At 38.9% G+C, this 24,516-nt stretch overlaps 1 protein-coding gene across 2 annotated transcripts, besides 1 other annotated feature; it reads right to left on the reverse strand.

Moving 5' to 3' along the window:
• SELL (selectin L) lies at positions 1,887-22,840 on the reverse strand. 2 transcript variants are annotated; one of them, NM_000655.5, is made up of 9 exons: positions 22,716-22,840; positions 21,656-21,737; positions 19,637-20,023; positions 18,562-18,669; positions 15,788-15,973; positions 14,475-14,660; positions 12,780-12,908; positions 7,755-7,773; positions 1,887-3,022 (listed from the first exon to the last, which is right to left on the reverse strand). In NM_000655.5, the coding sequence occupies exons 1-9, from the start codon at positions 22,716-22,718 to the stop codon at positions 3,004-3,006; spliced, it is 1,119 nt and encodes a 372-aa protein (NP_000646.3). In that variant the 5' UTR covers positions 22,719-22,840; the 3' UTR covers positions 1,887-3,003. The 2 variants fall into 2 exon arrangements, 1 of the variants encoding a protein (NP_000646.3); NR_029467.2 differs by lacking the exons at positions 21,656-21,737; positions 22,716-22,840 and having other exon boundaries at positions 19,637-20,077.
• Positions 8,092-8,141: an enhancer, noted in NCBI's record as "active region_2078". NCBI's record gives its function as "activates an Ori minimal core promoter by ATAC-STARR-seq in GM12878 lymphoblastoid cells {active_cell/tissue: GM12878}" and the evidence as "EXISTENCE:reporter gene assay evidence [ECO:0000049][PMID:35858748]".

Below are 24,516 nucleotides of genomic sequence, written 5' to 3' on the forward strand. Positions count from 1 at the left end.
ATATCTCATAAAATGTTGGGGCCCACTGGATCAGACAAGGCCACAAAGGCCAAAGGGAAGTAAAGATCTCATTATTTCTCCTAATAATTTCCCTGTCCTTTGTCATAAATGGTGGGTAGGCTGTTATGGTGATGGCAGATTTTCTTTCCATAAAATGTCCATAATAGGACATTTGAACAGAAGGGAAAAATCAAATTGCTGAAGTTGAAAGAGGGCAATGCAAAGAACTTTGGAGAAAGAACTGTACAGAGAAGTCAACTGGCAGATGGGAGGAAGTTTAAGGGGAAAAATATAGATGTCTAAAGAATACATTTATTCATTTTCCACAGTGCAATTTGGACAAGAAGCCTCTTTCTTGCTTCTTTCTATTCTCATTAAATCATTAGAGCTCAAGCAATCCTTCTGCCTCAGCTTCCCGACTAGCTAGGACTACAGGTATGTGCTACTATGCCCAGCTAATTTTTTAAAAATTAGATTTTAATTTGGTGAACTATTTCTGTAGGAAACTACAATAATACAGCCCAGGCACATTGATCTTGGGTGAACAAATCAGAAGGAATGAATAATTCTGTGTTCCTGGGACTCTGACAATTTCATGAACTTGGTACTCTGAGTAAAGCATAGGAGGAGTTATTTCATAAAATGTGGAGCACAATCATGTGACAAAGATAATGGGATCCCCATTTCATAAATAAATCTGAAGTTCAGAGAGAGTAACAACTGGCCAGGGTCACATCACGGAGACAGAGGCAGGGTTCCCACTGATGCCTCTGACTCCCTGTCCCAGGCCCTTCCTCCTCCCGCAAGCAGAAGTGCAGGGGGCAGAGCTGACCCTGTGCAGTGAAAATCTGAGGGCTGAGTTCCTATTGGAACACAAGTGAAAGACTTCCTGGCTTCTAATCTCAGGATAAGGACTCAGAGCTCCATCTGTTCCAGCCTTAGGATAAGAACCAGAATCTTACACCATGAAAGCATGAAAGGTAAGATTTGAGTGAGGAAAAAAAAAAAAAAAGTCTGTGTTTCAGATTCAGTTCACAAAGCAGTTTCATACTTAAGGTACCATCACAATAACCCTGTGGGGTAAGCAAGGCAAATTTCATTCTTGTTTTATGGGCATAGGAAGTAAGTCTCAGGGAGGTTAAGACCAAGGTTTCTGGAGAATTTTATATTATGAATCTTGATTTATGGGATTACTATTATGTAATTCCTAAGATCATATAGGAATCCTAGAGCTTGAATATAGAACTTTATTTTTAAATCTATATACATCATAATTACAAGGAGTAGTGTCCATTTGGGTTCCTTGGCCCTGATGTGTTAGTGGAATAAACATTTTTGTCAGGGTTGCCATGTGTGTCTGTGCACGTGTGCACTGTACACCTCCAGGGGATGTACCCTAAACCACATGAATGTGATTTGCACATCCAAGATTTACAGTGTACTATAGGGAGAATCTTTTGCAACAGCTTTTGCTATAATACAGAATCTGAGATGTCTTTGAGAAAGAAAAGTGTAATCATTACCAAAAAATTATTCTCATAATGTGTGCAAATTTGTATGAAATCTATATTGGCCATGGGACAAGGAGGTATTTCCAGCTAGCTTCTGAAAGGGCTCTATTCTCTCATAAGAATTCAGCTGTTGACATTAGGTGATATCTGCCCAGGTCATCAGATGCCATAGAGAAAGAGGGTTTGCTGAAACTTATATCAGCAGTGCACTGTATGCTCTTTCTGATTTATTTGAACATTCATTTATTGAGTGTCAAGTAATGCACTAGATACTCCAGGGATCTGACACAAACTCTGCCCTGAAGGAGCATGTAATCTCACTGGGGAGAAAACAAAACATATGATAATTTCAAAATAACAAACTAGGCAAACTAGTTAACACTTAAAAAGCAGGCTTTATTCAAATGCAAAATTGCATGTTACAGGGTAACCTTTCAGTAAGAAGCCAGGAAGAGGAGCTCATCATGGGTTGGATTAGTAAAGGACTAGTTATAAAAGAAGTGGTGGGGTTGAGGGAGGCCTGAGATGAAATTTAAAGAATATGTAGAATCTAGGTAAGTGGATAAAAGGTCTGGGGGCAGGGGAAAGGAGAGCATTTCATTGTGAATCAAGGAATTTCTCCACCTGTTTTAACTCTTCCATATGACATCAAAGAGATGTCACTTGCAGCTAGCATTTCAGTGATGTTTTCTTACTAATAATATCGTGATAAAAGAAACATTGACTATAAGAAATAGGAATGGGTCTCATAAAAGGAAACAGCAAAACCCCCAAACTAAAAAACAGCGCAGGCTATTTCTCTCTTCTCTCCTTTTGCTTGGCACTCATGAGATGCTAGGTGTGGAAGTCAGCCAACTGAAAAAGAGAGGTGGCTGAAGAAGGTGGGGAGGCTGAAGCCAGTTAAATAGGATGGTCCAATTCACAGACGGCGAGGCTACAGTGCAAATAGGACTCTTTCAACTTGAGCAGGACCCCATTACTTCACTGGAGTTAGAAAGAAAGGAGAGCGTAGACTTTTTGAACTTTCTATAAGAGTGTACCTCCACAGTATACAGAAGACGACGTGAAATTTGATCTGCAAGAAAACTGAGTCCATATTCACATATGTATCAAATTTGCACTTCATTTAGAAGTGTCTGTCATCAAGTACAGCACTGAATTGAAACTGAAAACAAGAGTCAAGAAAGAGCAAAGTCAGCCATCTTTATATTCCACATGAATCCTTTCCCTTTATGGTCTTATTTGTTTCTCCTCAGAAAAGACAAAAAGCTGAGCTGTATAAACACCTGTGGGCTGGGGGTTGAGGGATAAATGAGGGGCGAAATGGAAGCTGAAGGAACTGTTGGTCAGGTAGAAATCTTCCCAGATGCACTGAAGGAAACACACTTCATGTTTGACGTAGGAGGTGCCACCACACAAAACGTTTCATGGAAGGATTTAAAGGATCTCATGATTTTTAGTATTCCAAGAATTTTCTTTCACCAAGGGCGATTTAATATGGGTCATTCATACTGAAAGAAAAACAAAAGATAATAAGAGTTTAAAAATTGCAAAACTTGGAGTGTTAGTAGTAAAGGTAAATATTCATTAGAGATGAGAAGAGGAGCAAGGAAATGCTTTCAGCTGGAAATCTCAGACAAGAGGCCAGGCTTTAGGAACCTCTGAAGATGAACAAATGTAAGCAAACCCTAGTAGCAGCACTTCTCAGATTTTCATGTGCTTACCACTCAGAGATGGTGTTAAAATGCAGACTCTGATTCAGTAGGTCTGAGTGGAGCCTGAGATTCTGCACCCCTAACAAGCTCTTTAGTGATGCTTATGCCACTGGCGCACAGACCCCACTTGGAGAAATTTTTGTGGTGCATACGGTCTTTGTCTCCAGATCTAATGAGTCTGAAGGACAGTGTAGATTGATTTTTTAAATTTATGTTTATTTTAATTTAATTTAATTTAATTTATTTATTTATTTATTTTTGAGATGGAGTCTCACTCTGTTGCCCAGTCCGGAGTGCAGTGGCACGGAGGCAGCTCATGCAACCACGGCCTCCTGGGTTCAAGCGATTCTTCCGCCTCAACTTCCTGAGTAGCTGGGAATACAGGCACGTGCCAGCACACCCAGCTAATTTTTGTATTTTTAGTAGAGATGGGGTTTCACCACATTGGCCAAGCTAATCTCAAACTCCTGACCTCATGATCCACCTGCCACGGCCTCCGAAAGTGCTGGGATTACAGGCGTGAGCCACCGAGCCCAGCTGTAGATTGATTTTGAGCAGTGGAAAGTCAAGGAATTAGAAGGCATGCTTAAATGGAAAGTGAAATTGGAGAAAATTTAAACTCATGAAATAGTGGTGGTTATAAACTCGTGATAAATTATATCCTGGGATATAATTTAATGAGATGGTAACACATTTAGTTTAAAGAAATAAGTGACACTTTTTTTGTGTGACACAACTGTCTTATTCTTGGAAAGGACAAGGAGAGAATGAAATATGGTATGTCTTCACAGCACCTTTCAAAGGGAGAACCAGATTCTGAGGAGCTGGTCTCATGATGAACTGTCAGGGTAAACCACAGTTCAGCAGCTGCAAATGTGCTTGCCAAAATAGAGACAAAAAAATGTTTCTGAAAACAAAATTTCACATATGCCCTCCTCTGAGGTTGGCATCATATCTTCCTGTGTATCTTGGGTGTAGCTTCTATCCTGCCAGAATTTAGACAGTAGAAACCAAATGAGGTGATAAACAGAGTCATTTTGCAGAAGAGTCAAAATAACCCAGCAAGAAATGAAACCACAAATGCCCAAGGAGTCATTCATTCACCATTCAAAAGCTAATAGAAATGAACACAAACTACTATGAAAATTCACCCAAGAACTTAAAAAAAAAAAAAAAGGCTCATGGTGTTTAGTGTGATAGTATTCATTTTACCTTTGACTTGTTCTAAAAACACACCATACTTCTACCCCACCCTTCCTCAGTGCCGTCACACAATGGTTTCAGTGTGAAAAAAAAAACCACGTTACTGGAAAAGGAGGGTGCCTGGGACTTGCCACTCTAAGCTGGTAGTCAAGGGTCTTGAGTTCTAAAAGCATACGCGTTAAGAGCATGATTCCTGGATCCAAATGAGTATGGATCTCAGCATTGCCATTTATTGTGACCTCAGGCTATTTTATTTCTCTGTGCCTGTTTCTTTATCAGTAATGAAGATGTTCATAGACCCTTCTCCCACAGACTTAAAGGCATATTTCATGATTTAAGACATGTAAACCATTCATAACAGTATACAACATGGAATTAATATTTGATAAAGGTTTATGATTATTGTAACTAACTCTGTCACTTGCTCAAGGCCTATAGAAAACTTACTTAATTAGTTCAACTACAAAAAGAGTTTGAATGTGATATCCACCAAGATCATATTCAGACCTAGAATTCTGTGATTCTTATGAATTAATACAGCCTTGGTCAATAAATGAGAGCTGGGCAAATAATTCTTCTTTGCTAGGCCTTTCTAGACCATCTGGTGAAGCATTCAAGACTTATGTTATTGGGGCCAGCCTTCCTTTCCAACTTCAACTCCACAACTCCTCAATAAGCCATGGGCTCAAGAAAGTTCTGCTCAGTGGCCCCTGAAAAATGCTTTCATAGTCTCACTACCATACCACTGCTTACACAATTTCCTTCCTACAGACTGCCTTCCTTTCCTGCTTTTCTCCATATACCTAAATCCTATCTATTCTTCATAAGCAACCTTCTTTATAACATTTTCTATAACCACCAAGCCAAATGACCTTTTCCTTCTTAAATATAGCACCCATTGGCCATTACCATGCTCTGCCTTGTATTTTTCTGATTTTTTTCTTTCTATATTCCTGTCTTAACTCCCCAGCTAGGTAATAATTTTCCTGAAATCAGGGACCAGGCTGACTCCTCTTGCTGTCTCAAGAAAGCTTAGCAGTTTCCAACACAAAAATGTTCAATAAACAACTATTAATTGACTGATTATAAAAAATCAGTGAACCATTAAACTTAATATAGCAATTTGCTTAGCATGGTAATTAGCTTTTTGCTAATATTCTTCCAGCCAGTCTCTCCTCCTGTGCCTCAAGGACATCTTAAAAAAAAAAAATCTAGTTGATCTGCTTCCATCTAGTGGCAATTAAAACAGGTGGTTCCGGTAGCCAGAAAACAGCTCTGGGTAGATTGTGCCAGAAAATACTTTCACTCAGTAGGTGCGAGTTTGAAAGAAATCTTCACATCTGTGGGTTTCCTGCCACAGACATAGGGAGACCAGCCCAGAGAAAGAAGCCTTTCCTCACTAGACTCCATTTGCACTAGTAAAGAGAAGACAGAGTAATTAAAAAGAATAAAAAGAACCTCCACTGATCGTACATCCTCATCCAGTTACCCCTGCCCCACTTCTCCTTCACAGCCAAACATTTTAAAAGAGATGACTGCTTGTTCTGTCTCTACTTTCTCATCCTCAGTAATGCTCAATGCTTGGCCGTCTGACCTCTGTCTTGATGTCTGCACTGCAAATAGTCTCCCCACTGACACCCTTGTTGCATCCAGGGGATACTTACTGGTTCTCTTGGCAATGTTTGAAACCGTTCCCCTTTCTTTGTTTCCTTGGCATTCATTACCCCACACTCTTTCTCCTCTTCCTTCTCCCTGCCTGGCAACATCTTTTCATTTCTCTTTCCCTTAGGTGACTTATTAGATAATGATGTTCCTCTGGCTCCCATACTCTCTCCCAGGTCCTCTTCCATTCTTAAAGCACTCACACCCTCCCTGGATGATAGTACCCACTCCTGAGATGGCAGTTACCTCCTGAAATGTGAGGGACCCAAATCCACTTCTCCTGCCATAGCCTCTGTGCTTTGGATAGGTCCAATGAGCCACAGTGAATGATGTGCATACACCCAAAGCTCAGTACAAAACTGAACCCATGATCTTTACCTCCAAAACCTCTCATTCTTTTATGTTCCCTTCTCAGAAGTAAACAGGACTACCATCCGCCAGTTTCCAGGTGAGAAAGATGATAATTTGATTCTTCTCTCTCACTTTTAGCCAATTAACAGACACATTCAGTTAATATCACCTCCTCTTATTTCATGAACCCATTCTTACTACTAGTTCCCTAGACAGGCGCCATCGGTTTTAATCTAATAACTGCAAATGCCTCCAAAACAAGTCTCTTTGAATCCAGGCTCACCTGTCTCCCACACTTGCCATACTGCTCTGCAGGGTGACCTTATAAGATGCCAGAGGTAAGGCTACTCACTGTTTAAACCCCTTTAGTGATATCCCAAAAGACCTCAAGATAAAGCCCATATCACATGGCTTATACATTAGTTTATGATCTGGCTTCTGGTGCCTCATTTTTCCCCACTTTTTCCTTTGCATTCTAAGCAATGGCCCATACTAAGTTTGTGATTGGTAGGATGGTTGCCCAAACCAGCATCCAATCCCTTCAGAAATCATCTCACTTCATTTCTAGCATTTTAAAGGAAGCTCAGTTGTCCAGCTGGGTACTGAATATGTCACCAAAGTCCTCCTTTCATAGTTTATTTTACTTAAACTCTCCTTCCTAAAATTCCAGAGCAAGTCACTAAACCCTAGATACTGAGAAATATTTTTCCATCTTCATTTCTGCCAGGTGGGCCATCAACTTTCACATGTCTGCATCTCCTCCCACTGTGCTATTTCTCCAGTAGAAGAAATTTGAGCTTCAAGACCAAACTGAAAAATACTTGCCTCCTTGGGGAAGCTGTAGGTAGAATTCATGCTCCCTATCTTTCCCACATTTCTGAAGGACAATGCCTGTTAGAGCAATTGAATGCAAATAGTCAATTGAATAAGCATTTATTCATTTCTCAATAAGTGCTTGTTCAATTGAATATTTCTTAAATAATATATTTAAGAACAAGAAGAACACACCACAATGTTTTTAACCCTCAGAAAAAATTCTGAGGTAATCAGAAAAATCTCCCTTTACATAAACTGCCCTTTTCTAATAGGGATTACTTGTTCGTTCATTCATTCATTCAGCTCCACTAGCACCAAAAAGCACAGCTCTGAAAGGAAGCTAGTAGATTTATCACCTTATCTGGTCATTTGGATGAGGACCCCAGGTAAATAAACTACTATGGGGTTAATGTGTCTAGCTAGAGCAGGAAGTAACTTAAGGAAGTAGAGAATGAATCAGCAGATGTGGAAACTCCTCGCCACTAATAAAACTTACCTTCTCTTGGATTTCTTGCCTGAAAATAGAAAATAGAGAAAAGGCATTAGCAAAAATTAGACAATTTAAAGTTTTTCAAGTAAGGGAGAAGGAAGACTCCCACTCTCAAAACTGTCTTTTGAAGTATATTAGGTATTTGTTAGGTGGACCCTATCTGTGTCAAAGGAGATTTGAGGAACTGGCTTAATAAACAGTGGTAGACACTAATACAGAACAGACATGTTGATGCAGATGCCTCCTGAGGTTCCATTCCATTCTCCGTGCTACTCAAGAAGACAGAATTGCTAAATTGCCTGGTGGCAAGACCCAATATGTCCATTCAAGTGTTTATCCCTTCCCAATCTGCCATCTCATCCTACCTGCAGATTCTTCCCTTGAGGGACAGCTGCTAATACTGTAAAACTATGTGCCATTACAGCTCACAGCATCATCTCTATGAGAATCCACAAGAGAATTTCACTTTGGTCTTGTTGGTAGGAATTGTGCAGCCTCATCTGAGTAACTAATGTGTTTTTATCTTACAAACACAAGGAATATCACATGGTTCTCCTTTGACTGGCTGTAAGGAAACTCAGAGCTAGATCTGAGACCCTCTCCTACCAAGTATATAAAACTTTGTGACATACATTTTTGTGCCATAACTTCAACCTTGGTTCCAAATGATTTTTGTACCCTAAGTTTAAATTTGGCTTTCTTTTTTTTTTTTTTGTACTCAATAAAACATCAAGCTCATTTATTATTGCGAAGAGCGAAACAACAAAGCTTCCACAGCGTGGAAGGGGACCCGAGTGGGTTGCCCAAATTGGCTTCTTTTTCTTACTTTTTAATTAATTTTAATTTGCTATACTGAACACATTTTGTACTGTTCTCACATTCTTTTTGAAAAAAGCAGAATATAAATAAGTAGATAACTTAAAAAAAACTCTTTGAGCAGAAAGAATCATTTGGGAGGCAATATATTTCAGTGGCTGTAAAGTGGCATTCTAGAATCATCCTACCCAGGTGAAAGCCCTATTTTGCCACCTGTAGTGTAGTGTGTATTTGAACAGCTACTTTCTTTTCTAAACTACAATTTCTTCATCTGTTAAAGAGGCATAATAATTGTATCATCCTCATTGGGTTGATAAAATAAAATATTTCCAAGTATTTAGTTCAGGTCCTAGCACGTAGACAGTGTTGCATTACTGTTTTAATCCTTTAAAGTATTAAAGACTACTATTTGAAATCTTTTCTTCTAAAATTCAGCCTGCTGATGACCAAGTGCACTTGAGCAGGGGGAATCAAATCTGAATTAATTTCAGATTCTGGTTAGCTTCACATAAATATTTTTTTTAGGGATGATGAACCTAACAGCAATAGATGAGTAAGAATCTGTTCCTACTGAGAGAGTTTCATTTTGAAGAAAAAGGAACTAAGGGGGCATGTGTTCAGTTTCATGCCCTGGTCTAACCCTGTGTGTTGGTTCTGGTGGGAAATTCTTCCAACCGAGGAAAAAACCAGTTCACAAATCTGAAGACCAGTGATTTTAGAAGATGTATCTGGACTGGAGTCTAATCTCTGACTCTGGGTCCTGCTGATATGGTATTTTTGAGATTTGGCCTAAAACATCATTGCCCTGGTTTCCTTATTTACCAAACAGGGCCAATGGTAGTGACTAATCAGAAAATGATAATGCCTGGTGCACAAAATGTGTCTAGATGAGCCCATGCACAAGGACACATGTTTCTGGAACTGTTCCTTATTCCTTTCCTAAAAGAAAGGAGGGAAAGTCTCCATACTAAGACTACTAGGGCAGGGGACAAAGTGCTAGAGTCAGAAGATTCATCTGAGGACAGAAGAATAGGGGTGAAGGCTCTAGTCACTTCATTGGCTACCATGCTCTAAATAGTTACCTGTGCCCTTTTTCTAACTATTAGAACCCAAAAAGCCTATAAATTCTCTCTCTCTCTCTCTCTCTCTCTGTGTATATATATACATATACACACACACATAGACACACACACACACCTAAACACACACATAGAGATTTATGACTTTTTACTTTTATCCTTGTAAATGCCATTAACTATATTTTGTCTTAGATTTAGCCTGGGAATGTAGCCATTATTTCTACCATTGCCTCCATAGGAAAAATACTCTTCATGTTTTAAAGGACCAACCTACAACTAAAATCTTTGGAAAGCAGAATCATTTGTAAGTTGGTGAAAATGGAAGATGTTGTTTTATAAATGAAGACTTTTTTTTTTTTTTTTTTTGAGACAGGGCCTCACTCTGTTGTGGAGTGCAGTGGTGCTGTCATGGCTTACTGCAGCCTTGACCTCCTGGGTTCAAGTGATCCTCCCACCTCAGTCTCCTGGGTAGCTGGGACTACATGTGCATGCTACCATGCCTGACTAATTTTTTGTATTTTTGTAGAGATGTGGTTTCGCCATGTTGCCCAGGCTGGTCTTGAACTCGTGGGCTCAAGTAATCCTCCTGCCTCAGCCTCCAAAAGTGCTGGGATTAGAGGTGACAGCCAAGGTGCCTGGCCCACAGATGAAGACTATTTAATGTTATCTTAAAGATACCCTAAGCTTCCTACCAAGCCAGTGATCTTTTGGGGCTTCTGTTTTCTTTGTTGGCATAACTGTAACTAGCCTAACTGCCCGTTATCTGTTTCCTGTTTGCCCCACACTGATTCCCACAGCAGTTTTCAAGTTATCGGTTTGAGATCTTGTACAGAAATGACTCCAAGGTAAAAAATTTAAAAACAACCCCTCTAATTTTTTTACCCTTGCTTATAAAACAGCCTTAGCCAGCTAACCCCTCACTACATGCAAATGAGTTTGATTCTATTCTTTTGATTCTACAAACACTTATTAAAAGATTTTAGAATTCGGAAATAAATAGCTTCCTTATTAAGGTGACTTACAGCCCCAAAGTCCTTAAAATTATTTAGACAATAGCCACCTTATCCCAGGGGGCAGTGTGTAATAACCCACCCTGTTCTCTATCCGTCAGTTCTGCCATCATCGCCCAAGGTAGGAAGAAAGACAGGACAACCGGGGTCAAGATTTGAAGTCTCAATGGAAAGAATAATCAGTGGTTGGAGAAAACTGTCATTCTTCTTTTGCCTTAATGCAGTACTTGATACTTATACTTAGTACTGTATAGTACTTAGTACTGTATAATACTATAAGATAGTGAGATTCAATCAGCACAGAATTTCTAATAGCAAGGGCAGAGACATTTTAACTGCTCAGTGCTCTCAGGTTATACATAGCTAATGAAGTTCTTGCATATCAACAATCCCCACCCCCCTCACACACTTTGTCTTTCTGGATTGGTTAGAAAACTTACCTAGCGCCCACTATTCTCAAATTTAAATGAAAGATAAGATCAGAGTGGCACGCAATTAGGGACTGATAAATAATATTTTTGTAATTGCCAGTGTAAATGGACAGGGGGCAACCTTTACATACCATATTCAGTGAACAGAATACGTACTAACTAATTTGATGGAAGGAAAATTAAAATGACAATCAACTGAGCCCACAGAAAGGCAACACAGAGCAGTTGGTTAGCAATTGTTTCGAGATCATCCCTGAACTTGAAACAGGTATATCTTTTTTTTTTTTTTTTTTGAGACAGAGTCTCACTCTGTCACCAGGCTGGAGTGCAATGGTGCGGTCTCAGCTCACTGCAACCTCCGCCTCCCGGGTTCAAGTGATTCTTCTGTCTCAGCCTCCCGAGTAGCTGGGATTACAGGTGCCCGCCACCACGCCTGGCTAATTTTTGTATTTTTAGTAGAGACAGGGTTTCACCATGTTGGCCAGGCTGGTCTTGAACTGCTGAGCTCATGATCCGCCCGCCTCGGCCTCCCAAAGTGCTGGGATTACAGGCATGAGCCACCACACCTGGCCAAAACAGGTATATCTTAAAAGCTGCCCAATGTCCATGAATGTTACAGCCTTGAATGGTTCTTCCAGGTGAGTTTGGCCAAATGTGGCACCATACACCCAAGGCCTGCTGCAGGCTAGTGGGTTGCTCACACTTTAAAGCTGAGACACACTCATGCCTTAAGGTAAAGGGAGTGATAATCTGGGCAGCAGATGTTAACTTCTCAAGGCAGTCCTCCTTCTCTTTTCCTCTCCAGTGACGGATGGTTGGAAAGCATATATGGTGCATTTGGTTAGAGCTGTGGCCTTGGTGAATAGATACTTGGGAGAATACATGGGAATTTCTCCCAGGGTTAATGCAATGCCCATGTGTTGGGAACCAGGTGACTCTTGAAGAGGTCAGGTATTTGGGAGCAGTGCCTTGAAACCTTAGTGGACATTAGACCCACTTCCTAGTGGAATTGTAGCATTGAAATCCAAGGCATGTAGGCTCTTAGAGGACAGAGATAGTGTGTCATTTTTTCAGAATTAATTAAGAGCAGGCCAGGCGTGGTGGCTCACACCTGTAATCCAAGCCCTTTGGGAGGCCAAGGCAGGCAGATCACGAGGTCAGGAGATCGAGACCACTCTGGCTAACACAGTGAAACCCCGTGTCTACTAAAAATACAAAAAATTAGCTGGGCATGGTGGCACGCTCCTGTAGTCCCAGCTACTTGGGAGGCTGAGGTGGGAGAATAGCTTGAACCCAGAAGGCGGAGGTTGCAGTGAGCTGAAATTGCACCACTGCACTCTAGCCTGGTGACAGAGTGAGGCTCTGTCTCAAAAAAAAAAAAGTATTAAAGAATTACATAAGAGCAAAGAACCATTAGAATATCTCACTTAGTTGTTATCAGCCTAGCAAGCTGCCTTGAAGGTAATAGACATTTTTAAAAGTTTATCAGATGAAAAGCGAAAATCAGCCAACCTGTTTTAATGAAGGTGTGTCCTGGGCTGATTTACATGTCTCCAGGGACTGATGGCTCTAGAATGTAAAGCTTGGCATCCTGCTTGTGTTGAATCTATCACATTTAATTTCCTGTGGGTTTCTTTTTTTTTTCTTTTTCACTTTAAAGTTGTGTTCTTTTCATGTGAAGTTAAACTCACATACCTTTTTTTAATCTCCTTGCCAGCCAAATGATAAATGCCAACCCAGAGAATGCAGTAACCATGACTGCCACTGGAATGAAGAGGGGGTTATAATCACCCTCCTTAATCATTGAGAAACTTTTGTCCAATTCTGAAAGAGAAATCAGTAAGGCACATAGCATGAGACCACCAGCATTATTTCCTTAGTCTATCTCATGATATTTGACTTTTTTCCTCCTTACATCTCCCAGTAGTAGCCCATTTGATGCCATTTGACAGATGAGGAAACTGGCATGGGAAGGCCCCTGATGAGTCTACAGCATAGGCAAAGACTGGACCAGCCTTGCTAGTCTAATGCCTACAGAATCTCAATGCCCAGATTTGTGGTTCATAGAGTTCCTGAAAATGCACCTAAAAATGTTGGCAAGAATGGTCATCGTTGTATTTAGCTCCATGGACTTGTTCAATGACTGGAACTCTGAAACACAGAGAAGAGCTAAAAGCCTAATACAACTTCAGGAAAAATAAAAGCCAATGATCTGAACTGGATAATTCACCAGTCAAAGGAAATCATTAATGCTTTTACTTTAAAGCAGTTGTGCAAAAATAAGCACTTGATTTTTACATGCCAAGGACCTGCACTAATTTCTTTCCAATGCAGTAGTTACCACTTCCCTCTACTTCCTTCACGAATAAGTAAAAGGGCATGTTTAGAGATACTCTTGTAAGTGTAAACTAAGTTCATTTGGGAGCCTCTATTTGAAAATACTGGTATAAAAAAAAATCTGTCTCCTGATACTAACATTTGAAGGAATCTACTTTTTTACATATTGGCAGAGGGTCTGATTCTATCCTTAGTTCTTCCCATTACTTTGATGAACCTTTTCAAGGTGATTTGATCCCCACACCCAAATATATGATTGAGAGAAGGCTCAAGTTCCCAGGAGCTCCAGACAGAAGGTACCTGTTGGCTTGATGAAGATGAGGAGGAAATGAACACTAGCTAGGCCTTAAAGGGAAATGTCTCTGATAGGCCTAATACACAGTCCTCTGCTAAAGGCCTCCCTGCCTCTCTCTGCTCATCCACTCTACTCCCTGGCCCTGGGCACGCAGCACACAGAGATCAGCATTTCTGACAGCTTCTGTAGATCCTACCATTTAAAGACTTTTGTCATCCATGCAGATAGTCTCAGGAGCAGACACAGGTAGCTATTCTTTCACATGCTAGCTTAACATGCATTTGCTTTAGCACCTATTGCCAGGCACTGTGTCAGGTGGAGGGTATACAAAGATGAACAAGACATGATTCTTCTCATATACAGATAGATTTTGGAGGCATTAGCTTAGTGATGATTCAGGAGTATCCATTATTTGGGGAAGTAGGTGGTCATTAGTGACCTTTTACAGGCATTTCAATGGGCTAACAGAGATGTTAGATTGTAGTGGAATAGAAGAATGGGTAAAAAGTAAATCAGTGAGTTCAGATTTTAGGAGTTAAGATGGCAAGAGGTGAGAACAAAAAAAGGAAATGATTGTCATTAAAGGAGGAGGAAAGACCAGCCAAAGATTTTACAGTGAGTTAAGCATACAAATTTATTTCTAGGCCACATATTCTTAGCAAAACAACATGTAAATGTTTATGTATGTCTTTCCTCATATCTGCTCATCCATCAGCTCCATCGTTAAGATTTCAGTTTTCCAGGACAAACTTACTCACTTTGACATATTGGACTAGGATTTGACCAGATTCCAGATGATTCACAAATGGTTTTCTTCTTCCCAATTAACTCAGTTCCTTCTGAGCAGATGAAGGTACATGCAGAGGTAAAGCTGAAGCTGGCCAGGGGATGGCTACAGTTCATGATCCCCAAATCTGGTGCTGATAGAGGCTCACACTGAATCACTTCAATGAAAAAGAAAAAAAAAAAAAAGACAAAACAGTATTTCTGAGTAGAGACCCTCCCTTGAGCAAAGGATTTTTAGCCAAAGCTGCCTGACTACATTACTTGTGATATTGCTTCCAGGCTTTATTTTCTTGAGAATGATGGTGGGTGGTGAATGAGAGATGAAGGCAAGGAAGCATTGAAAGCTGTGGGGAGAGGAGTAGCTACTCCAGGCTGCTGCCCTAGCTAAGGTGACCCTCCCCTTCTGCTGGAAGTACCATGCCATATGGCCTCTGCATCAAGGGCTCTTATGGGATATTCTCAGAGAATCTCTGCCGTTTCATCTGTTCTGATATCTACCCAAGCATTTTGAAAAACATCCCAATTCACTGAAGCAAGTCCAACTTCCGTAAATTCCAGTAGGTGGGTTGACAGTTTTATAATTTCAATAAGGGATTTTGATAGCACTTCTAAGAATTAAACTACTTAAACTAATGCATCAGGAGCATACTTGTAGAAAAGTTAACCAAAACTTCGTAAGTTCAGATGACATTGGTTTTCTCCCATATGGAGATAAGGTTGGCAGTTAAAAATGAAAAAAAAAAAAAAACCTACCTTATTTCAAACTTGAAAAGATCAAGAGATTGTGTTTTTGTTTTTCAGTTGTTATTCTCCTAAAAGTTTATGCATGAGGAAAAGTAAAAGTGATTTTAAGAATAAGCCAAATAAAACAACCAAGAAAGACCTCCACTACCCTGGGAAGGAAACTGGTTGGTATTAAGTAGGACACCACATAAAACAGGTGTTATTGAGAGGAGAAGAACCAAAATGTAACTGAGGTTCAACAAGACATTATTTATGCAATGGCAATGAGAAAAATAAAAAACACAGTATAACCATGCTGTATTGCTATAAGTCATGTTACACACTGGGAGATGGCTTCAGGGGTATTTGGTTTTTACTTTTTGTTTGGGAGGTTTTTCAAAAAAATTTAGTTAGAATAAGTCCTTTGAGAAACATCACAGTAGGTTAAACAAAGTTAGGTTAAATTAGGCTCCTAAGTTTGACTTCTCAGCAAACTTCTACTGAATGTTCTGACTGTAAGCCCAGGATTGCATGACAAAACCTCTAGTCTGAAGTTACTCACCTTGACAGGTTGGTTCTGGAGATGACCAGTTTCCAAATGGTCCACAGGTGGTTTCTTCAATCCCAGTTAAGTTTGTTCCTTCAGAGCAGCTGAAGGCACACTGTGAGCTGAAGCTGAAGTTTCCCAAAGGGTGAGTACAGTCCATGGTACCCAGCTCTGGGGCCTCCAAAGGCTCACACTGAATCACTTCAATAGGGAAAGAAACAGTATGGGGAAGAGTTAAGAGGAACTGACGCCTGGATTTGAATCCTAGCCCTGCCACTTGATAACCATGTGCCTTTAAACAAGGTTACTTGAACCCTCCAACTTCAGTTTCTTCATCTATATAAGAGGAATAATGAAATTGTGTTATCTTTATCAAATTGATATGGAAACTAAATGTAATTCAATTAGCATAAGTCAAGGACCTTAGAACAAAGCCTGACTCATCAGAAATTCTAAGTAAACATTAGCTAGTCTTCATATTATTATCTTCAGCATTATCTGTAGTGAGAATCCTTAAAGCCAAATAGGTGTAACTGGGAATGACCAGCTTAGTCGGGAAATAACTATCACATCAGAGCCCCTGAGTCTACTAGAGTATTGGGAGCAAGATGTTCAGAGAAAGAGTGGGTCTCCATAATAAGCCTTCTTTGCAAGGAGAGAATATAAAAGTCTAGGAAGCATTTTGACCTCAATTCTGTCTTCTATTCTAGCTCAGTTCCAGAATTTTAACTCTTTTGATTTTGACAACCCTCTCCAGAAACTGTATCTATTTCCCTGTTCTGATTGGTGGTACAATAGGTAAATTTAAGACTTGGAAATCAAAGTTTTCACATTTTAGACCCTGCCATGCCATTTAGTAAACAGTACAACTTTCATGTCTTATTCCTCATCTGTCAAATTTAAGCCATTATTGCTACCTTGCTCTAGAGACTTCAAGGAAGAATGGACTCAAGGAATCAGAAGAATTTTTGTATTTGGAAACTATATGAGATGAGATTAGGGAGAAACATGGGAACTAAGAGAAAATGTTATCTTTTTTCATTGATTTAAAGAGTATCTATTATATATCAAGCATTACTCTGGGGCTTGAAGAGCTTAGATTTCACCCTGTAGGACAAAATGGTAGGTAGAAATTAATGGGTGGATTGTCATGTATGTGTGATGTGTTTTAATTGCTTTTAATTGATCAGTCTCCCTGTAGTATGAATAATGTATTTGAGGGGAGCTAATTTAAAATTGTGGAACTCATCTAATAAACTATTGCAAGAATCTAGAAGAAAGATAATGACGGCAATGGTAGTAGAGTTGACAAGTGGAAGACAAATTAGAAAAACACTAAGTTGTAAAAATTGGTAGAATGTTACCCTGCATAAATGTTGGGGGAGTTAAGAGAGTCTCATACCAGGGTGCCCATGTAAATGGTGATTCCACATACTGAGATAAGAAATACGAAGAGAAAAGCTGACTGGGAACAATTGGTTTTATAGTCTTTTAAACATCCCAAAGGACATCCTTAGCATATTTGAGTTCAGAGCTGGAGATAGGCTTATCAGTCCAAAGATCACATAGATTTGTGAGTCCGCAAAAGTCAGTAAGTTTGACCAAAGGATACATGTAGATTAGAGTCAGAAGAGCAATATACAAAAGACAAAAGCTGAGAAATTATAGTAGTTTATGGTCCTGGATAAGTGCTCATGAAGGATCTCAGGAGAAATGATCACAGGTAGAAAGAATGAGAAAAGAGTGATATGAGAGAAACCAAGACAAAGAAAAGTAAAATGTTAAAAATGAGTGAAATAGGCATACCAATAATTAAAAATGAGTAAAATAGGCATACCAATAACATAAGGGTTAAAAAATAGAGTTCAAAAATGGGGTGAGGGTAAAGTATTAGGAAGGAGTCATGGCCCAGGGATCAAGTGAAATGAGTTAGATCTATAGATCTATTTCAGTTGGTTGACATTTAAATGTATTTTGGTTTTAATTCTTTATTGTTTACAAACATTGCTTTTTTAAAAAATTAAATTGTCCAATTCAATTCAGGCTCACAAGCAAGTGCCTCATATATACAGGCATTTTGTGGATCCCAAAGATGCAATGATAAATAGGACACTTACTGATCTCAAGAAGTTTTCAGTACCAGAGGAGACGGACAAGTGAACAGATGACTTCAACATAAGTGGGAGAAATGAGGAAGAAATATGTGGAGCTATCAGAACTAAGAAAGCTTCCTAGAAGAAACTGTCTTTGAACAATGTCTTAAAGATGACATGTTTTTTGGCCATGTGCAAAATGAGAGAGAAGGCCACCAGCAAAGTCAGTGTGCTACAGAGCACATGTGTTAAGTGTGGAGAACTGCAAGAAGGAAAGGAACTACTAGAAGGAAAAAGCAAGATACTTTCTGGGTAACTCAGCCTCCTAATGATAAATGGCATAGTTTCTTCCAGACCTTAGAGTTCTAATTAATCTAACAAGCTCATTAGATCGTGAGCTTCTTGAGAGCGGGAATCTACCATGCTAATTCCTTATGGTAACCCTGACAGCTTTTATCCCAACACTGTGCTTCTTGTGGTACTCAAAAAGACTTGTTGAGAAGTGAGTCGAAACTTCATGCTGACTTATGAAATCTTTACGGAAAGGTAACAATATTGTGAAAGCAGAGCTTTCTGATCAAAACTTCCCATTTCTCAGAGTGGCTAGTATCATTTTGTTCCAACCAGCTTCATGATAAGCTATAATGATTCCTGTGACTTTACCTAAGAAGAAGCAAAGAAAGGAAAGAGACTTACCAAACTGACACTGGGGCCCATAGTACCCCACATCACAGTTGCAGGTGTAATTATTGATGATTTCTACACATTCTCCATGGCCACTGCATGACCAGGGCTGGCAAGAAGCTTTAAGGAGGTCAGAAAAAAAATATTTTAATGTGATTACATTTTAGTACTCAAAGTCATTTCTTTAGACATAGATAACCTTTTGTCTGAGATGATTTAAATAATCAGGAAAGGTTTATTTGTAAATTCATAGCATAAAAATCATATGCTAAAATTTTTACGTATAAAATACACTAAGCATATAGTCATAGGCATTTATTTGCTTTTGGAATGAAATTACCAATACTAATATTCTGTAACACTTATAGGAAACTTAGTGGCATACCTTGAAACTCTTGAAATTACTTGTTTTTAATGAGTGAGAAGGTTAAATGATGACCTGACCTCAATCATTTCTGCATGCAATTATTTCTTGGCAATCCCTTTCTTTATAGAAATCAAAGATTAAAAAGTCCAAATTTGCTAAAACGGTAGAGTCCAATTTATAAGAGACCAAATTAACTATGGTTCATTATTAAAACATCACTTGGAAAATGCTGGCTGTTTTGGAATTGTAGAAGATTTTACAGAAATATTCATACACCAAAGATAGTGCAATTTTTATATAAAATTATATAAGGTTAGACCAAGAAGGAAGCACGCAGCACCACACTCTCTACTTCACAATGTGAAAACTGAGGTGATGTGAGCCTAAGTTTCCAACTGGCCCCAGCTGTCAGCTTCTCCTCCCCTGCCTTATTATCAAAGGCACTGATTGTCTAGCTCTTCCTCTGTACTTCCTACGTAGATCTATCATTTTGATGTAACTTGATTTAGGGGTATAGCTTTTGTGCACAGGGACAAATCTTACACACCAAAAATTCTTAGGAGTGACACGATGCAAGATTATATAGAGGGCTAGATGTATTTTAGAATGAACCAGAAGCTGTTCTCATCCCCCCACCTTTCCATGGGGTAAATCTGAGTATTCTCTTAACCGTGGCCCTTCCTGAGTCTGAGGCAGCATAGCCGTCTTGTCACTCCCTACCTGTGTAACAGAGGGCTGCCTTTAGTTTGTGGCAGGCGTCATCGTTCCATTTGCCTGCATCTTTGTTTCTCTTGATATAGATCTCCACGCAGTCCTCCTTGTTCTTCTTGTTGTTGGGCTCACCATCTCCCCAGTTCTCTGCTTCTTCAGTAAGAGATTTGTTGGTTCCCACCCACGTCCATATTCCTCCTATCTTCCGGATTCCTATCCAGTAGTAAGAACGACTGAAAGGCAGAGTCTTCTCCAGATACTCAATTTCCGCCTTGTTTTGTATGGCAACTAAATCTGTGTAATTGTCTCGGCAGAATCTTCTAGCCCTTTGCCAGTTCATGGGTTTTTCAGAATAATGGTAAGTCCAGCAGTCGGTTCCATGATGTGCCAGGAAATCTGCAAGACATCAGTGTGACCTATGCAGACTTACATAATGTTACAGCTAAAAAGAACCTAGCACTACTCCAGGCTGAGCTAGACACTTAGAGATGAGGAAACAGAGCCTAAGAGTGTATGTGACCATCTCAGGATCACAGAATAGTTGTTTGCAGATTTGAAGTAGAACCTAGACCTTCTGGCTTGAATATAAGATGCTTTTATCTAAGGTTCTATTTGAAACAAATTTAGTGGTTTTCTAGGTTTATTTTCTTATTAATTTTTTTCTCAAAATTATTTCAGGTGAAATTTAACCAACATATTTTAGACATTCATATTTCTTTTTCTTTGTAGCTGTTAATGATTTACAACTAATTACCGTGTAATATCATATAACTATACAATTTACGTATACTTTTTAATCCTGGAATCATTTCTTGAAGGCCAACACATATGTACCTATGGGAGAAGCATAATAAGGACAGGAAGAACAGTGACATACTTTTAAGTAACCTCTTTTACATAAAAAACATTTTATTTTACCATAGGAAGAACTGCTTCTGGAAAAGCCCAATATACCACTCAACTCTTATATATCTAACTGTATAATTTTTAAAAAGAACAATTTACAAAGCCAAATGGTATAGGATTATGAAATTCATTAGATCATGTTCTATACACAAAGAGACTCAACTGATGATGTTTAATAAACATATGGACCCATCAAATATGAGGGCTTTGAAGATATCTAATTAAACACATAATTACACAATGACTTCATAATAATATATGGCATTCTAAGCATGGTATGATCTACATGAATCACTATTTAATACAGTAAAGAAACAGATATAATTGATGGTAAAGAGCATCATAAAATAAACATTTTGAACAGAGTTTTGAATGAGCATTCCACTAGAATGCAAGTTCTAAGAGGGAAAAAACTGTTGTGTCCACTGCTGTATCCTTAGTGCCTAGCATAAATTTCACACATTGTAGGGACTCAGAAAATACCTGTTGTATGAAAAGAGCACTAAGTTTCTATGTGACACAGTGCAGACATGGCATAAGGAATGTGTGAACGGGAGAGTTAGCATGTTTGCTTGGCTAGAGCTGAAAATCCAGGCTAGGGAGAAAGAAGACATTAGTTTACTTAGGAAATGAAAAACCAAGTTCAAAGCTATTGCTGGAGAGTCTTCAAGAATCAGATATAAAATTTGTCACAACAATGGGAGAAGGACCAAAAAATGATAAACCCCCGTCCCTTAATAAGCTCGTATTGTAATTGTAGAAATGACATTAATGTACACTGAACTATGAATAAAAAATAGAAAATGAGGTGCTAAATATTTGGTACAGATTGTAAGTACCTTAACAGAGATTTCTTAATTAACATTATTCCTTTATAATTGAGGGATTTTGTGGGGTTATTGGGATTTGAACTCTACAGCATGGGCTATTATAGGTTAAAAATAGTGTTCAGGAGTTTCTGGGGAAGAACTAAAGGTAAGAAGAAAAGAGATGTTTACAGAAGGGATAGAATTAACAGCTCTGTGAAATAATTTTCCCTTAGACTATGTATAACTAGTGGATATTTAAGAAAAATGAATATAAGTAAAATAGACTTAGCGATATATAAATATCATAACATACCACAACAGAGCATTGTCCACCCCCACAACTTGAAGATGTTCCATAAGTCCCTCTGGGTGCTCTGACATTTCCATGGAAATATCTGCAAATGAAATACAAAATTATATTTAGATGTATACTCTTAAACCACACATTTATAGCCTTTGAGGTGGTGCTTACAACTTTCTTAATAATCAGAATAAAACACATATGTCTACTAACCCTGTCTGAGGTAACAGGTTTCTCAGACATAGATGAAAAATTACTTCAAATTTACATCAGAACTGATGCACAGTTTTGTTTTGTTCTATTTTATTTTTACGCTTTAGTCTCAAGTTGCTAATCGGTACTGCCCTGAATTTTTTCTATGGTTTGGTAATTTTTATACCTGCTTTTCTGCTGAGCTATTAGATAAAACTATTTAATATTTACTATGTATATTTTTTAAAGTATTGTTGCTGCTTAATTAACTATTGATGCTTATATTTAATGTTATAGCCTCACTCTTGATCATAATGGGTCAATGCCTCAAATACCTAAAAAAAAAAAAAATTAGATAGCCAGACACCAGGAAAGAAAAGTATTTCTTTTTTTAATAAAAAGAAATACCTTTTTGAGCAACTGAAATGACAAAGTCACAAATTTCCTGCACACCTTAAAATATACTTAATGTAAATGACGAGTTAATGGGTGCAGCACACCAACATGGCACATGTATACATGTGTGACAAACCTGTATGTTGTGCACATGTACCCTAGAACTTAAAGTATAATTTTAAAAAAATTCTATCTTCCAAAGCATATCACTTCTCAGGTAGACACAGTGTTTATTGCAAAAGATCTGATTTCAATAGTATTTCTTCAAGAGTCTCCCCAGAGACAAAGTCAAGAAGAGGAAATCAGCATATCTGAGAAGAAAGATTTCAGGATCACTTTTTTTGAGGGTCTGAGAAAATGTTTAGTTTCTATATTATTTAAAACCAGAATTGAAATGGGGTGATTCCTATCCTTGCCACCTGCCTCTACAACCCCAAGAGTTTCTATCTGAGCATCTAAACGTCTTTTAGGCTGAAAGGCTCACCATGGCTTTGCTTGGTCCTTCTCTAGTTCTTCTGCAGCCCATTGAGCCTCTTGACTTAGCACAAGGGTCTCAGGTCCTTGCCCAAAGGGAGTGTGCTGTGCTGCAGGTAGACTGCACTGAATGTCAACAGAAAGCCTTGCTTTCTTTCATTTCTCTAACCCAGTCTCACATCCTCCTCCTCCTCCCCTTTTCCCTCCCCTTCCTCCTGCACTTCTCTTTCCTCTTTCCCCACCCCTTTCCTAGACTGGCCTCTATTGCCTCCCACTGAGACAAAAATGAACTGCTGATCAGAAAGTAATGTGACTAGATTCTCTCTTCCTTCCCTCCTTTCTATCCTTCCTTCCATTCTCCTATGCATCTTTCCTTACCCTCCTCCTCCTTCACTCATTGTTGTTGCTGTTCTTCTTCCTCTTCTTTTTCCTCCTGCTCCTCTTCTTCTACTTGTTCTTGTTCTTGTTTTTGTTTGGTTCTTGTTCTCCTCTTCCTCCTTCTCTCTCTCCTCCTCCTCCTTCTTTTCCACCACCCTCCCCTATCTTTTTCATAAATGCTAAACTAACTCTTGGCTACCTGTGGTAAATGGCCCTTGGAAATTGCAAATACTACAAATCAAAACTGCATTTCAGACATATTTATGATGTTTGCAAAACTTCAGTAGAGCTAAGCAGTGGACTTGACTCGTTTCGGTTCCTTCACCTCCGTCTTTCCTTGCTCACCACCTAGTGGACGTCCTTGTTAGTGGCACTTCCTGAAGTTAACCCCTGAAGAGAGCCCATGCTCTCTAGCTTTTCACCGTGTAGGTTTGGGAGCCTACAAGTACCTTTAATATTCTTGGACTATAAAATGAGATGGTTTTATAAGACTGCATGTGAAATTAGGACCCATATGATGAAGGACAATAAAAAGGAAGACCCACTGATGTGAGTCAATGAGTCAAATGCAAATCAGATTTGCATTTTTAGGAAAATAATAATAACAACAACAAAAACTCTGAAGCTCAGCGCCCCATATTTATTATATTGTTTAATCTTTATAACAGCTCTCTGCTATAGATATGATTATTATCCCCATTCTAAAGAGTCTCAAAGAGGTTAAGAAACAAATTCAAAAACTAGCGAAAGACAAGAAATAACTAAGATCAGAGCAGAACCATAGGAGGTAGAGACACGAAAAAGCCTTCAAAAAATCAATAAATCCAGGAGCTGCATTTTGAAAAGATTAACAAAATAGATGGACCACTAGCTAGACTAATAAGAAAGAAGAATCAATAGACACAATAAAAAATGGTAAAGGGGATATTACCACTGATCCCGTAGAAATACAAACTACCATCAGAGATTACTATAAACATCTTTACACAAATAAACTAGAAAATCTAGAAGAAATGGATAAATTCCTGGACACATACACCCTCCCAAGACTAAACCAGGAAGAAGTCAAATCCCTGAATAGACTAATAACAAGTTCTGAAATTAAGGCAGCAATTAATAGCCTACCAACTAAAAAAAGCCCAGGACCAGATGGATTCACAGCCAAATTCTACCAGAGGTACAAAGAGGTGCTGGTACCATTCCTTCTGAAACTATTCCAGAGAATAGAAAAAGAGGAACTCCTCCCTCACTCATTTTATGAGGCCAGCATCATCCTGATACTAAAACCTGGCAGAGACACAACAAAAAAAGAAAATTTCAGGCCAATATCCCTGATGAACATCATTGCGAAAATACTCAATAAAATACGGCAAACTGAATCCAGCAGCACATCAAAAAGCTTATCAACCACAATCAAGTTGGCTTCATCCCTG

This window comes from Homo sapiens, chromosome 1 (assembly GCF_000001405.40).
Source record: "Homo sapiens chromosome 1, GRCh38.p14 Primary Assembly".
Lineage (NCBI taxonomy): Eukaryota > Metazoa > Chordata > Mammalia > Primates > Hominidae > Homo > Homo sapiens.